The following is a 15460-nucleotide window of genomic DNA, read 5'->3' as shown; positions in this document are numbered from 1 at the left end:
GACAGACATTGGCATTTTGAAGCAGCATGATATAAATTAAGTGACTTAATGAAATGTTTTTTTACAAATATGTCCACAGCTCTTTCTCTGAAAGAGAAAGCCTTTTTTTCAAGCCACACATGGCTCTGAAAAAAGCCTTGGTTTCCCAAAATGTTGTCCCAAATGTGTAAGTCAATCATGTGGTACCTCTTTGGGCAGTTTACTTGCAGATTATTTTGTTGTAGTTTTCCAGGTCTCCTCTGCAGTAAAATCCTTTTTCAAGTCCTTTTATAAGATTTTTAAAAATACACCAGATCTTGATAAATAATAGTCTTGATGAGAGGGCTCAATTTTTCTGAATCCTGACTCTAATGATGGTAATGCTAGTATTTTACCATGAAACAAACATTGTATAACTCATTATATTAGCAAAGGAAGTTAAATCATGTACTGAGATTAACTGAAGATTACCCTTTTTTCCTTTAACATCATAAGGTGAATCATACTTGTATTTTACTGGAACATCTTTGTATTTTTGGATGAATCCTGCTTTGTCCCTTTTTGTTCATCATTAACTATGATGCCAGATGTAATTGCTAATATTTTATGTAGGATTTTATATTCTCGCTTATAAATGTCACTGGTCAGAACTCTTTTTGGCATATTTTCCTTACATCAAAATGATATTTTTTCCCTTCGTAATCTGACACCGTTCCATTAAGAGAAAAGAACACCTGTTCCTTAGTGGTTTGACATGAAATACTTTTGGAAGCCTGGCCTTTTGGGATGGTAGCTCACTGGTGACCTCGATTTCTTCTATTCTTCTTAGTCCTTAAATCTCTTTTGTGGGGAGGAGAGTGGGTTTAGTTTCTGTCATTTATATTTTCCACAAATTTATACATTCATTCAATATTTTCAGTTGTATTATCATAGATATTTAAAAGAGATATCCTTTCCATTGAATAATATTTCCTACATTATTTCCCTTTTCTCCCTAAGGAGTTTAGTTAGATGTTTAGTTTAGTAACTTTTTTCAGCCAAGAGCCCTGATATTTATCCACAAATTATACAGTTTAAAGTATGTTTCTAGGACCTAAGTATTGTCAAGAAAACTATTTTTAAATTGTTTATTGCTCATGAATATTTTACATTTTAATAAATATTCCTGTTTTTTGTGTGTGTTGTTTGGAGACCATAGTTTTGTCATCTTTCCTTGAGTCATTGAGGTTTTTGATAAGAATGGGAGGCAGTGGTTTGTTAGCCAGGTCTCTTGTTTTCCACGAGCTCCTCTCCCATGTGGGAGGATTCCTGCTCAAGCCACAGTGGCTTAGCCCAGGGTGACATTAGATTCTGGGTTACTGGACAAATGGCCCGAACGTGGCCAGCATCATTCCTCTGGCATTACGGACCGGGTTATGGAGATCAGAATCACTCAACAAGTTGAAGCTGAAATTGCTCCAATTTAGCTGCTGTAGATGGTATCTTCAAAGTGCTCTTGGTGGAGCCTACAGGAAGCTTTCAGTCAGCCTGACCGTTTCATGCCTTCTCATTGGACTGTGCCACATAGAACTATCCAATCACATTTGCCATTGTGTGGTTTATTGGCAGGGTTTCCTCGAATTACATTTCATCTAATTAGAAATTGTGTGTGTACCCAGTACTTCATTTGAATACAGGGCCTATACATGGGCACCACCCTGTCACCAACCACTATCTTTTTCATTTCAAGGTATTGAAAACAATGTCCGTCATGGCTGAGCATTCTTCTAAATCTGACTTTAATAAAAAGGGCTTTAAGAAAGTCATTTCCAAAACACAGAAGGGGAAGATGTGAAAAGAGATGCTATGGAGACAGTTGAGTAACTGTCTATATTTACATCTATGTTTACAGGGTTCTGAAGCAATTTCATCCTGATATCAGCACTACATTAAATTTCTTGGGCATCATGAATGATTTTCTTATCGACATCTTTGAGCACATCACCACCAAGGCTGGCTGCCAGGTTGCTACACTGAGTGCTCCACTATCACCTCCAGAGAGATCCAGACCACCCGAGCCTGATGCTGTCTGGGGATATCCACAAACACGCTGTATTGAAAACCAAAGGTAAGAACCATGTTCCAGTAACATTGAATCTACTTTAGTTCTTGAAGTGTGATGTCCTGCTAATTTTAAAACATTTTTTTTACAACAAACTAGATATTATCAATTTTAGTTTAATGTATCTATGGTCCAATTTGTTTAAAAAATAAAATAGTGGGTTATACTTAATAATGTTGCATTATACCACTTTACTAACGAATCAGTTCTTTTAGTTATTTTTGTAGGTAAGCCATTCACGGGACCTGTAAGATGTTATCTATATTTTTCATTCTCATTCCCTCACAAATATATGCTGAAATTTTCCAGAGATACCTTATATATTATATTCAACAGATTAATTGCAGGAACATATATAAGAATTCAACAGACTTCTGTTAGAATAAATATTAAAGAGATTTTCAAATAAAAAGTCCATCTCCTTATGACTTGTTTTAGAAAACATATTTTTCATATAAATTTACAATGTAGGTTTACAGAATGTAATGGATATTTTATTGTAAGTTTAACATGAATTAATATAAATATATTAAAAATTTCTGTTTTACTATTTAATATAATAAATATTAACAGATATGACTGCATGAAATTTTAAAGCTTCATTATTTTTAAACTGAAAATAACCTCTTTCTCAGGCTTTGCCGCAAGAGAGGAAGGCCATTCTTTTCCACACCCTCACTGTACAAAATTCATTTGCATATTTATAGACTGGAATTATTTCCATTTCTTTAAGTAACTAAAAGTGTACAGAGCTATAATATTGCTCCCATAGAATCAGAATCAAACAACCCAGAAGGGTGTACTATAAATAACACACAATTTTCCTTTGAAGAACATTTTTCCTATAGTTTTTCTATTTTTGATAAACATTAATTTCAAAGTATGGTTATTCTTGACCACAAAATGAGGCTGAACTCATTAGATTTGGCTTGTTTATTTACACAGGTACAGCAGAAATCCTAATTTACTATATAGTCCTTCTTTAGTATGCATTGCTAAGAGTTTTCATAATGATGACATTGGACTTTTTTACTGTATTTATATATATATATATATAAAAAACAAAATTTACCATATAGATCATTTTTGGTGTACAGTTTAGTGACATGAAATATATTCACATTGTTGTGCAACCATTATCACCATCTGTCTCCAGACTTTTTCATCTTCCCAAACTGAAGCTGTACCCATTAAACAACAACCTCCCATTCCCCCCAAAACCCAGTCCCTGGTAACCACCATTCTACTTTCTGTCTCTATGAATTTGACTACTCTAGGTACCCCATATAAATGGAATCATACAATATTTGTCTTTTGTGTCTGGCTTATATCACTTAGCATAATGTCTTCAAGGTTCATCCATGTTATAGCATGTATCAGAATTTTATTCCTTTCTAAGGTTGAATAATATTCCATTGTATGTCTATATCACATTTTATTTATTTATTCATCCCTTGGTGGACACTTGGGTTGTTTCCATCTTTTGGCTATTGTGAATAATGCTGTTATTGACCATTGGCATACAATATCTATTCAAGCTCCTGCTTTCAATTCTTTTGGATATGTACTCAAAGTGGAATTGATGGATCATATATTAATTGTATGTTTAATTTTTTGAGGAATTGCCATGCTGTTTTCCACAGTGGCTGTACCATTTTACATTTCCATCAACAATGCACAAGGGTTCCAGTTTCTCTGCATCCTTGCCAATACTTGTTATTTTTTTTTTCTCGTATAATAGCCATCCTAATGAATGTGAAGTGGTATCTCATTGTGTGGTTTGATTTGCATTTCCTTACTAATTAGTGATGTTGAGCATCTTTTCGTGTACTTATTGGCAATCTGTATATCTCCTTTGGAGTAATAGTCATTCAGGTCCTTTGCCGAGTTTTTAATTCGATTATTTTTTTTATTGTTGAGTTGTAGGAGTTATTTATATATTCTAAATATTAGTCCCTTATGAGATATATGATTTGCAAATATTTTCTCCCATTGCATGGATTGCATTTTCACCATGTTGTTAGTGTCCTTTGATGCACATAAGTTTATTTTGATAAATCCAATTTATCTATTTTTTGTTGCCTGTGCTTTTGTTATCCAAGAAATCATTGCCAAAACTAATGTCATGAAGGTTCCCCCCCATGTTTTCTTCTAAGAGTTTGATAGTTTTAGATTTACATTTAGGGCTTTGATCTATTTTGAGTTTATTTTTGTATATGGTGTAAGGGAAGTATCTAAATTCATTCTTTGGCATGTGGATATTCAGTTTTCCTCACATATTCATTAAAGAGACTGTCCTTTCCCTCATGGAATGGTCTTGGCACCCTTGTCAAAAATCAATTATCATATAAGTGAGAGTTTATTTCTAGGCTCTCTATTCTATCTCATTAGTTTATTTGTCTGTCTTTAATGCCAGTACCATACTATTTTGATTACTGTAGATTTTTGGTAAGTTTTAAAATCTGGTAGTGTGAGACCTCCAACTTTGTTCTTCTTTCTCAAGATTGTTTTAGTTATTCAGTATCCCTTGAGATTCCATATGAATTTTAGGATGCATTTTTCTATTCCTGCAAAAAACATCATTGCATCATTGAGATTTTGATAGGGATTGAATCTATAGATCACTTTTGTTAGTACTGACATCTTAACAATATTAAGTCTTTCAATCCATGAACACAGAATGCATTTCCATTTATTTCTGTCTTTTAAATTTTCTTTCATCAACATTTTGTAGTTCTCAGTGCAGATGTCTTTTGCCTCCTTAGTTAAGTTTATTCCTAATTATTATATTCTTTTTGATGCTATTGAAAATGGAATTGTTTTCTTAATTTTCTTTTTGGGTTGTTCACTGTCAATGTATAAAAATGCAACTGATTTTTATGTGTTGGTTTTGTATCCTACAACATTGCGGAATTTATTAGTTCGAACAGTTCTTTTGTGGAATCCTTAAATTTTTCTACAAACTAGGTAATGTCACCTGTGAACAGAAATAATTTTACTTTCTTTATAATTTGAATGCTTCTTTTTCTTCATGTAATTGCTTTGTCTAGAACTTCCAAAATTATTTTGAATGCAGGTGTCTTGTTCCTGATCTTAAAGGAAAGGCTTTCAGGCTTTCACCATTGAATTTGATGTTAGCTGTGGGTTTTTCACATTGGATTTTTAAAAGCCTCTTATTATTTGCTCATCCTGAGGCTATGAAGGAAACTCAAGAAACTTTTCTCACTGGATTTCACCTGCACTATATATAATTTGGGCCAATTCTTTCTTCTTGAGGTTATCAAACTATCTCAGAGGTCCTGGCCTTCGTTTCTCACCTATAAGGCTGGGACCCTGAAAGCCAGGTACTAAGTCAGTTTTCCTCAGTGGGCTTTCTAGTTTAAATTTTAATTCTCTAACTGTAGCTGGTTATACTTGATTAAGTGAGCATCATTCTCAAATATGATATTTCAGACAAGGCCTTATTTGCATAACCAAATTTGCCAATTATTAATATATCCTGGTTAAAAGGAGGACAAGTTCTTATTGAACCTGTATAGATCACTATATTACCATGAAAAGTAGAATACCTAATTTGAATTTGTGAATTCTACAGATGGTGGGGGTATCAGAGAGAAAAAGATAATTTGCAAATATTTTGTTTCAGTTTACAAATGCCAAGTCTACTAAATTGTTATGGGTTAAAGATATGTAAGAAAGACAAGTCTGCATTATATATCCAGAACATAGAACAACATCAGCAATATTTAAAAAAAACTACAATAATCCCTCATCAGATAATTCAGTCATATATGATTAACTCTTGTTCTGATGGATTTGGGGTTAGCAGTCTCATGAATCCATCTGCTTCTCAATTTAAAAAAATTCTGGAAATCCTCAGTCTATTGGTATGGTTTTTAAGTTGCTGAAGCAGTGACTTCAGAAGTTAGCCAGGCGCAGTGGCTCATGCCTGTAATCCCAGCAGTTAGGGAGGCTCAGGTGAGAGGATTGCTTGAGGCCAGGAATTAGAGACCAGCCTGGCCAAAATAGACCTCCATCTCTGCAAAAAACAACCAACCAACCAACCAACAACGACAACAACAACAACAAAAACACCTCAGCCCGGCATTGTGGTGCACACCTGCCATTCCAGCTACTTGTGAGCCTGAGGCAGGAGGATTGCTTGAGCCCAGGAATTAGAGGCTGCAGTGAGCTATGATCACAACAATGCACTCCAGCCTTGGTGACAGAGCGAGACCCCCATCTCAAAAAAAAAAAAAAAAAAAAAAAAAAAGAGAAGCAGCAGCCAGTACCTTTCATGTGTCAAAAGACTAAAATACATAGCATAGTTTTGGGGGGAGGGATACAGCTCCTTTCCAGCACCCTAACATCTTTACATGTATTGACATAGGCCATGTAGGCAAAGTTTGAACCCCTGCTCATCTAAATCTTGGAATAATACCTTTTTGGTCTTGCTTGAGCATGAAAGCATGGCAAGTCTCTGAGCAGCTGTTAACCACACCATTTCTCACTTGCCTCCCTATCTAGCAGGAGACTATCATGAGAGTTTCTTATTGCCTCTTGGATTCTGATGAGGTGTGAGTCATTCTGCCCTACTCCTTTGGATTACAGCTGCAGGCTGTAAAACTTTTTAGCTGCATTTATCATTTTTTTTTTGTGGTGGCAACATTCACAACCTACTCTGTTAGTAATCTTGAACTATACAATACATTGGTATTTGCTATAAGTCACCCTACTGTCTAATAGAACACCCAGCTTATTCTTCCTGCCTAACTGTAACTGACTACCCCAATTTGATCATTATACTATTTATACGTGCACCAAAACATCACATTGTAGCCCATAAATATATACAATTATCATGTGCCAATTATAAATAAAAATTAATTTTAAAAAACTGTGGCTGTAGTACAGCACTGACTTCTTAGGAACAGGATGTCCTCTCACGCATGTTGCAGTCATTTGGCCCCTTTTATTTTGCCCAATGCAGGGGACAATTTGCTACTCATTAAAAAATATGTATGTAAGTAATAAACTCTCTGAATCGGATAAGGGCTAATTGTTTCTTTACTGACCAAATCTACCACCCTGCTCAGTGTTGACATCCATTTCCGCAGGGCTCTGAGACAGTCCTCCTTTCTTGAGGAGACAAACTCCAGCCTGTGACTGATTGCAGAGTCTTCTGGCAAGCTTCAGAGTAAAACAAAAACTATTTGTGGATGACAAAGGCTTAAAATGGGACTGTGGTTAATTTTTTGATGGTAATTTTCGGAAGTGAAAGAACTGATGTGTCTATAACAGGAATAATGCAATCGACAGAAAATTTGGTTATTTCTGTGACACAAAGGTAATAAAGTTAATCCACAAAGTTTTAAACACAATGTATTTAAAGATAGTCATTATACAGATTTTCAGTGAAGACAGTGAATATTACATCTGATTTACAAAAAAGATGAACATAATTTTTATAAAGGAAAAATATTTGGATTTAATAATTCAAGAACACACAATGTACATAATATACCATGAGTATATTAAGAATTCAGTAGTAATATATACCAATAGAATATCAAGTTGAGATTCAGTAAGTCCAGAGTAGATCCTAAACATCTATAATTTAGTAAAGCCTCATAGGAAATATTTTACAGATGTATGTACACAGGTTTAACTAGGTATCACTGTGTAACTTGCAATTTTCACCAAATATTGTTTCTGAAATTTATCTACATTCTAATTGCTGTAGCTTTAGTACATTCATTTTTACTGGTATATTGTATTCCATTGTATGATTGTAGTATGATTTATCCAGAATAATCTGTTGATGGACATTTCAATTGTTTTCGGATTTGTGCTGTTAAAAACAGTGGTGCACAAATATTAATTTTACCTGTTTTTTAAACATACCAGTGGGATTATACAGTATTCCCTGTTTTTGCTTGGCTTCTTTTGTGTTTTTTTAAATTTAAAATTTTTAATTTCTGCGGGTGCCTAGTAGATGTATATATTTATGGGATACATGAGATGTTTTGGTACAGTTATACAATGTGAAATAATCACATCACAGAACATGAAGTATCCATTCCCTCAAGCATTTATCCCCTGTGTTACAAACAATCCAATTATACTCTTTTAGTTATTTTAAAATGTATACTAAAATTACTATTGACTATAATCTCCCTGTTGTGCTACCAAATACTAGGTCTTATTCATTCTGACTACTTTTTGTGCCCGTTAACCATCCCTCCTTCCCCTTCATCCTTCCACTACCTTCTCCAGCCTCTGGTAACCATCCTTCTACTCTCTATTTCCATGAGTTCAACTTTCTTTTGCTCAACATGTCTGTGACACTTAAGAAACATATCAACCAAGTGCAATATGGGGCCCTTGTTTGGACCATAATTGGAACAAACCAACTGTACAAAAAGCATTTGTGCAACAATTGATATTGATATTTGATATTAATGAGTTACTATCAAATTTTTTCTAGGTGTGACAATGGTATTGTGCTTATGTTTAAAAGAGCTCTCATCTTTTAGAGATTCATACTGAAATACTTATGGATGAAAATATATTATTTGCTTCAAAATGGTGGAGGTGGGAAAATGTGGAGTATATGGCTGTGAATTGATAATTCTTGGAATTAGGTGATGAGAAATGGGTGTTTAATAGACTATTTTCTCTACTTTTGTATATATTTGAAATTTTCCCTAATAAAAAGGTTTTTAAAAAAGAGTGGTACAGAGGTCATTTTGTACAAATCTCCTTGTATACATCTACCATATATATATATATATCTGTGAGTCCATTTGAGGTGTTATCAAATAGGTACAGTCTGCTAGATATGACCAAAATGTTCTGCAAAGTCTATATGTATGCCAGGTCACAATCTAACCAATTGTGTATGGAAGGTCTCATTGGTCTACCTTGTTCATCTAAAGAGGAGGTTGAGTGCCTGATTCCAAACACAGGCCTTTTAGTCAAGCACATGGGGATTGAGATAGCAGCTCTTTCTCTTAGAAGCTGTGTTACCCTGGAACCTGTACTTAACCTCTCTGAAACTCAGTCTTATAATCTGTAAAAGGAAATCCTGATACCAAATAGAATATCTAGAACATATAGAAAGACAGCATTTGTCTGTTTCCTTCCCATTCTATCTTTTTTAAAGAGAGATTTTATTTTTAACCTCAAGATCATCGCTATGTCTTAGCATTTTGGGAATGTTAAAAGGAGAAGAAAAAATAAACACGCTCATGTACTTATGTAACAGATTCAAGGCCATTTCTGTGAGACAGAATGTTATAGAATGAGTTGTCTGATAAAAACAGGTAGGAAAAAAGTGCACACTTTCCTATTGAATGGTTGTACCTTCCCTGTGGTCTTTGTGGCTTTGTGGGTCCAATAGTTTCAATTCAGGTGTTCCCATGATTTAAGAGTCTGGGATCTTCTTGGAGTTCCAGAAACACTAGGCATTTGGTGACTGTGGATCTGCAGGGAGGGACACTGGAACAAGAATCAGGAGCTCTGCCTGAATTTCAGTGCCCGAGCCTTCACTGTTGACAGGACATCAGGTGAGTCATTTCCTCTCTCCTCTCCTCAGCTACCAAAGAGGATAACACCAGGGAGCCAAGTCAATGGGAGTCTGGTACCTAGACTGAGGATTTGCTATGTTCCAAGCACTGTACCATTTGCATTATTTGCGTTTCTCTCTTTTAGTCAAGTACTTTTACTCAAGTGGCCTTCATGAAGCAAAGTCCAGCATCCCAGAGAACAACATTGGGAATCTAATTTAGATGCGAGGGGGCACAGAAATCCCTTGTGAGAAATTACCTTTAAATGGCAGCCTGAAGTGTGAATAGGAGAAAGCTAGGGTGGGAGAGATTCCCAGGCAGTGGGAGCAGCATGTGCAAAGGCCCTGAGGTGGGAAGTAGCTTGGCCCATCTGGGCTGGGGGGAGGCCTGTGTAGCAGAGTGAGTGAGAGAGGAGTGGCCTTAGATGAGGGTAGTAAGGAACACTGGGCAGAGTGAACAGGTCTCTGCAGGCTATATAATACAGAGTCTGCATTTTACCTGCTGAGTTCTGGCAAGGCATGGAGAGTTGTAAACACATGTGATCCCATTTGCTTTTGGCAGCCTGGAAGGTGTTGGACGCTGAGGGTAAAAATACTGCTCTCAGAGTTGAATGAAGCAGAGCAGCCATGAGGAGTAACCCTGTGGATGGAGCCTCTGCTGCTGAAGTGACAGAAGTCTGTCCTGTTTACTGTGGAAACCTAACATTGGGCTGGTGACAGTGGTAATGAGGACATGTGACAGGACGTGGGGCTGGCCGGTGGGACTCTCCTCATTCCTCTACTCCAGTGAGTGTGTTGCCCGAGGTGAAGAGGCTTGGAGGGCAGTTGATCCCTCACAGAATTTAGGTCTGGCTCTAACCATATTAAGAGAGGACAAAGGTCACTGAGATACATGGTCCCACTTCCTTCATATAGGTCTTTTAAAATGTTTATATATATATATACATATAAAATATATTATCTATAAATATATAATATAATATATAAATATTTTATATATAAATTATATATAAATATATAATTATTTTATATAATATATAAAATATATAATTATTTTATATAATATATAAAATATATAATTATTTTATATAATATATAAAATATATATATTATACATATATAAACATATATTATATATATATTTTGAGACAGGGTCTCACTCTGTCCCCCAGGCTGGAATGCAGCGACGATCAAAGCTCCAGCTCCTAGACTTGAGCAATCCTCCCACCTCAGCCTCCTGTGTAGCTGGGACCACAAGTGCATGCCACCATGCCCAGCTAATTTCCTTTTTATTTTTTGTAGAGACAAGGTCTTACTATGTTGCCCTGGCTGGTCTTGAACTCCTGGGCTAAAGTCATTCTCCCACCCTGGCCTCCCCAAGTGCTGGGATTACAGGCTTGAAGCCACCACACCTGGCCCCTCGTATAGGATTTTAAAAAGCTGAAACACCTAGAAATTCTTCTGTTTGTGACAAAAGGCCCATATTCTTCCATTATATTTTCCCTATTATAATCATATCCAGCCACAATTCTTGATCATTCTGATATTGTTTAAAAGATATTATTATTCACCAGAGCATAACCATTTCCCTTAATGAATTATAATTCAGAAGGAGCATAGATCACATTTATTTAAACTTTTAGCTGTATCCTACTGAACATAATTTTTGTGTTTTTACATCATAAATCATATGGAACTACTTATCATTCCTAAATTAATTTTAATGGAACAAAGAGACAAGGGTGTTTTAAGTGTATATGAAAATCACTTTTATTCTCCTCTGTACCCTTACTGCTTATCAGAATATCTTCCATAGATACTGGTTTGTAATAGATTATAAATAATTTACATGTGGCTGAAAATGTCCCCATAGCTAGACAAAGTGAAATTCTGTTTCCTGACCAACATTCCCCCATCTTACTCTCTAAAGGTAACCACTGCTACACTGATTTATTTATTTTTAAGATACCAAACTGCAATCACAGAATAACACTGATGTGCTAGTTGTGTTCTTCACATAACAAGGTGCACACTTTAAAAAATCATTTTCATTAAGCTATTATTTAGGTAAAGTAAAATTCACTCTCTTTAATGTACAGTTCTTCAAGTCTTGAAAAGTGCATACAGTTGTGTAAGTATTACCAAAATCAAGCCATACAACAGTTGCATCACTCCAAAAAGGGGCATCCTGTGCCCCTTTGCAATCAGCCTGTTCTCCACACCCCAACCCTGGCAATGAACTATTTGTTTTCTGACCCTCCAATTTTGATAGCTGTAGGTTTTCATTTTGCATTTTCATTTTAATTCTGTTCTATGTATTTTTTATTTCCCTTGAGGCTTCCTCATTGACTCATAAATTAACTAGATATGTGTTTAATTTCCAAGTTCTTGGAGACTTTTCTGTTGTCTTTTGTTGTTGATTTCTAGTTTTATTCACTATTGTGAGATAACACATTCTATTCAGTTTCAATTTGTTAAAGTTGGTTTTATGATCTAGGATGTAGTCTGTCTTGCTGAGTGTTTCGTGTGCACTTGGAAAGAGTGTGTGTTCTGCTGTTTTGGGGTGGAGTGTCCAGTAAATGTTAATTAGATGCAGTTGGTTGATGGTGTTGTTCAGTTCATCTATAACTTTACTGATTTTTGGTTTACTAATTCTATCTATTACTGAGAGAAGAGTGTTGAAGACCTCCCATTATAATTTATCTATTTCTCTTTCAGTTCTGTCAGCTTTTGCTTCATGTATTTTGAGGCTCTGATGATATATATCTATATCTATATAGATATGCATATCTATATAAATATATGCACTTAGAATTGTTATATCTTCTTGCTTAATTGGCCTTTTTTATTCCTAGTAATTTTGTTTATTTTCAAGTCTACTTTGTTTGATAATATAGATGCACCAGCTTCTTTTTGATCAATGTTTGCATGGTATTTCTTCAATCATTCTATTACTTTTGAACTATCTATATCATTTATATTTGAAGTGAGTTTCTTGTAGACAGTGTGTAGTTGGGCTGTTTTTATTTTTGTTGTTTTTAAAAAATCCATTCTGATAACCTCATCTAATATGTGTTTTACCATTAACATTTAATGTAATTATTGATATGTTTCCATTTAGGTCTACTACTTTATACCCCGTCTGATTTTCATTACTTTGTTTCCTCTTTCTTGCATTCCTTGGATTTGAACACTTTTTAGTACCCCATTTTAATTTTTCTATTGTGATTTTGAATATATCTCTTTGTATAATATAACATTTTTGTGGTTACTCTATAAATTACAATCTACCTACTTAACTTTTTACAGCCTATTTGGAATTATTGTTTTACCACTTCAATTAATATGTGGAAACCTCACCTTAAAAAGTCCCCTTACCCTCCCTGCTTTATGCTATAGTTTCCTTATAAATTATATCTATGTTGAAACATACATAAATATCTATTATATATAAATTATTTAGAACCCCATCAGTCAATATTATATTTTGCTGTGGTTTTCCAACATTTCTCATGCTTTTGGAAACCTATTCAGCTATATCTTCATATTTACTTCCTCGTTAGAATTCCTTAGAGTCCCAAATTGGGGCAGAAATGAGCAAGAATGAGAAATTTGCCATTCACTGTTTAAAAATAGTCAATAATATTATAATTTAAAAGCAATATAAGTCATTAATAGAAATTTAAACGGTATCCTGGGCAGCATCAAAGGCCAGTGCCCAGAAAGATTAGAGTATTCAGAGCCCTGGCAATTTCAGGACACAATGGGAAAAGCTTTAGAATAATTCAAGGTTCCACTACTGAGCAGGCATTTAAAGCAGTTTCCCTGAAGTACTTAATCTGCCCTAACTTTCTATACCCTGATCTGAATTATAGAATTAAATAGGTAACTTGAATAAGTGTTAAGATTAAAGAATATATATAAATTTTATAATTTATAAAATTTAGAGTACCACTTATTTATATTACTTTTGTAAACATTAATTTTCCACTATCAAGATCATTTTTCTCAGAGGAAATATCAGTTTTTCTGACTGAGCACTTTCTGTCTACCACCTTAACAACCAGTCAATTCAAATAATCACCATATCCAGGCCTCTTAGCTCCAGGGGCAGGATTTCATTTATATTGTCATCATCATTATCATCACCACCACCACCATCAACCCCCAAAAGAGGTTGCTGAGTGCGTATCCATGAGGAAGTATAAAATAATCAGTCCCTAAGTTCCTGTAGCCCATCATCTACATAAGAGGTTGTTATGTATGTGAAGTGTTTGTCAATGTTCTTTCATTCTTACTTCCCCCTAACTCCAGGAGGCTTTTCAAACATTTTTTTCCTAATCAACCCCTCTCAACTGCAGAAGGTGAGATTTTTAATACCACAGATGTAGTGTATATATGTTTATGTACTGTGGTCCTTTGGAGGGTCAAAGATTATTGTAATATCTATGAAAACCCTACCCCAAAAATCTAATTTTTGGCCCCTTGGGCATAATGCCACATATATTGAGAACGCATGGTATATTGTGATTAGGACAAAATTTGGAACCCTATTCCTCCTCCATCCATCTCTTGGTCCATACTAGAAAATATATCATGACCAGATGCTCAGCCTCAATAAACCATCCACAGAGCTACCTCAAGTGTTGATATGGAGCAGTGCTCAGGTCCCTACTCCTGGAGGAGACTGTAGACCTCTAACCTCATCCCTGTCTGGAAGAAATTTCCCTTCCTTACCCTCACTGTGTCTTCAGAGGTCCTCTCTTCCCTACCAGGTAAAAACAACCCAATCATTTCTATAAATTTAAGTTTTCATAAAGGATGGAAGAAACACTGATTTCAGATAGCTTCTGCTTCCATCTCTGCCATAAACTTCTCTTTAGGCAAGGGGAAGGGGCACTCCCTGATGCAAGGAGGATAAACACAGGGAGAATAGAGATTAACCACCTCAACAATACGTGTCCTGATATATTTGCTAAAGCTATGCAATTAGCCAATAAAGGGGTTCAGGCTGCCAGGTTCTATCTCTGGCTCTGGCAGAGGCCTGATGAGAAACCTCTTTGCCATCTAGCTCTGTGGTTAGGAGCATATGCTTTGGAGTCACAGACATCCATGAAGAGAGGATACTGACACCTCACTAGCAGGGCTGTCATGAGATTAAATCCAGACACTAACATGAAGAACCTAAAGCTGGATCCTCTAAACACTCTGCTCCATAAGTATCTGTCTTTCCTCCCTGGAACAGGGAACTCATGTGGCTCCTGAACTGCCCCCTCAGCCAGGACTCCTTAACTAGATTGCAGGTCAGAATCCGAGTGGTATCCTTTTCTAAACCCTCAGTTGAATGTCACTTGTTGGTGGAAACAGGACTTCTGTATCAAAAGGCATTCAAGTTATTAATCCATAATAATATGGGCCTCAGAAAAGTGATATGCCCATTTGATACCAACACTGTATGTGATTGTTTCCCCTTCATACCATCAGCACCAGGTATTTTCTTTATTGCCAATGTAATCTGCTCATTTTTTCCAGATCTGCCCCACTGCATGAGTCATCCCAGAGGGTCGTTAAGCTTATAGATTAACATTCTCCTCCCCTAGGGCTGCCAGATTTAACAAATAAGCATACATCCAGGACACCCAATTGTATTTGAATTTCAGATAAACAAAACAATATTGCATCAGACTAAAAATTATTTGTTGTTCATCTGAAATTCAAATTTAACTGGCTTAGAATAAATTGAATCTGGCAACCATACACATGGAGGACTCTGTGAAGTAGAACCAAAGGGCTACAGTCAACAGCCACCACTG

This window comes from Homo sapiens, chromosome X (assembly GCF_000001405.40).
Source record: "Homo sapiens chromosome X, GRCh38.p14 Primary Assembly".
Taxonomy (NCBI): Eukaryota; Metazoa; Chordata; class Mammalia; order Primates; family Hominidae; genus Homo; species Homo sapiens.
This window is presented reverse-complemented; position numbering follows the sequence as displayed.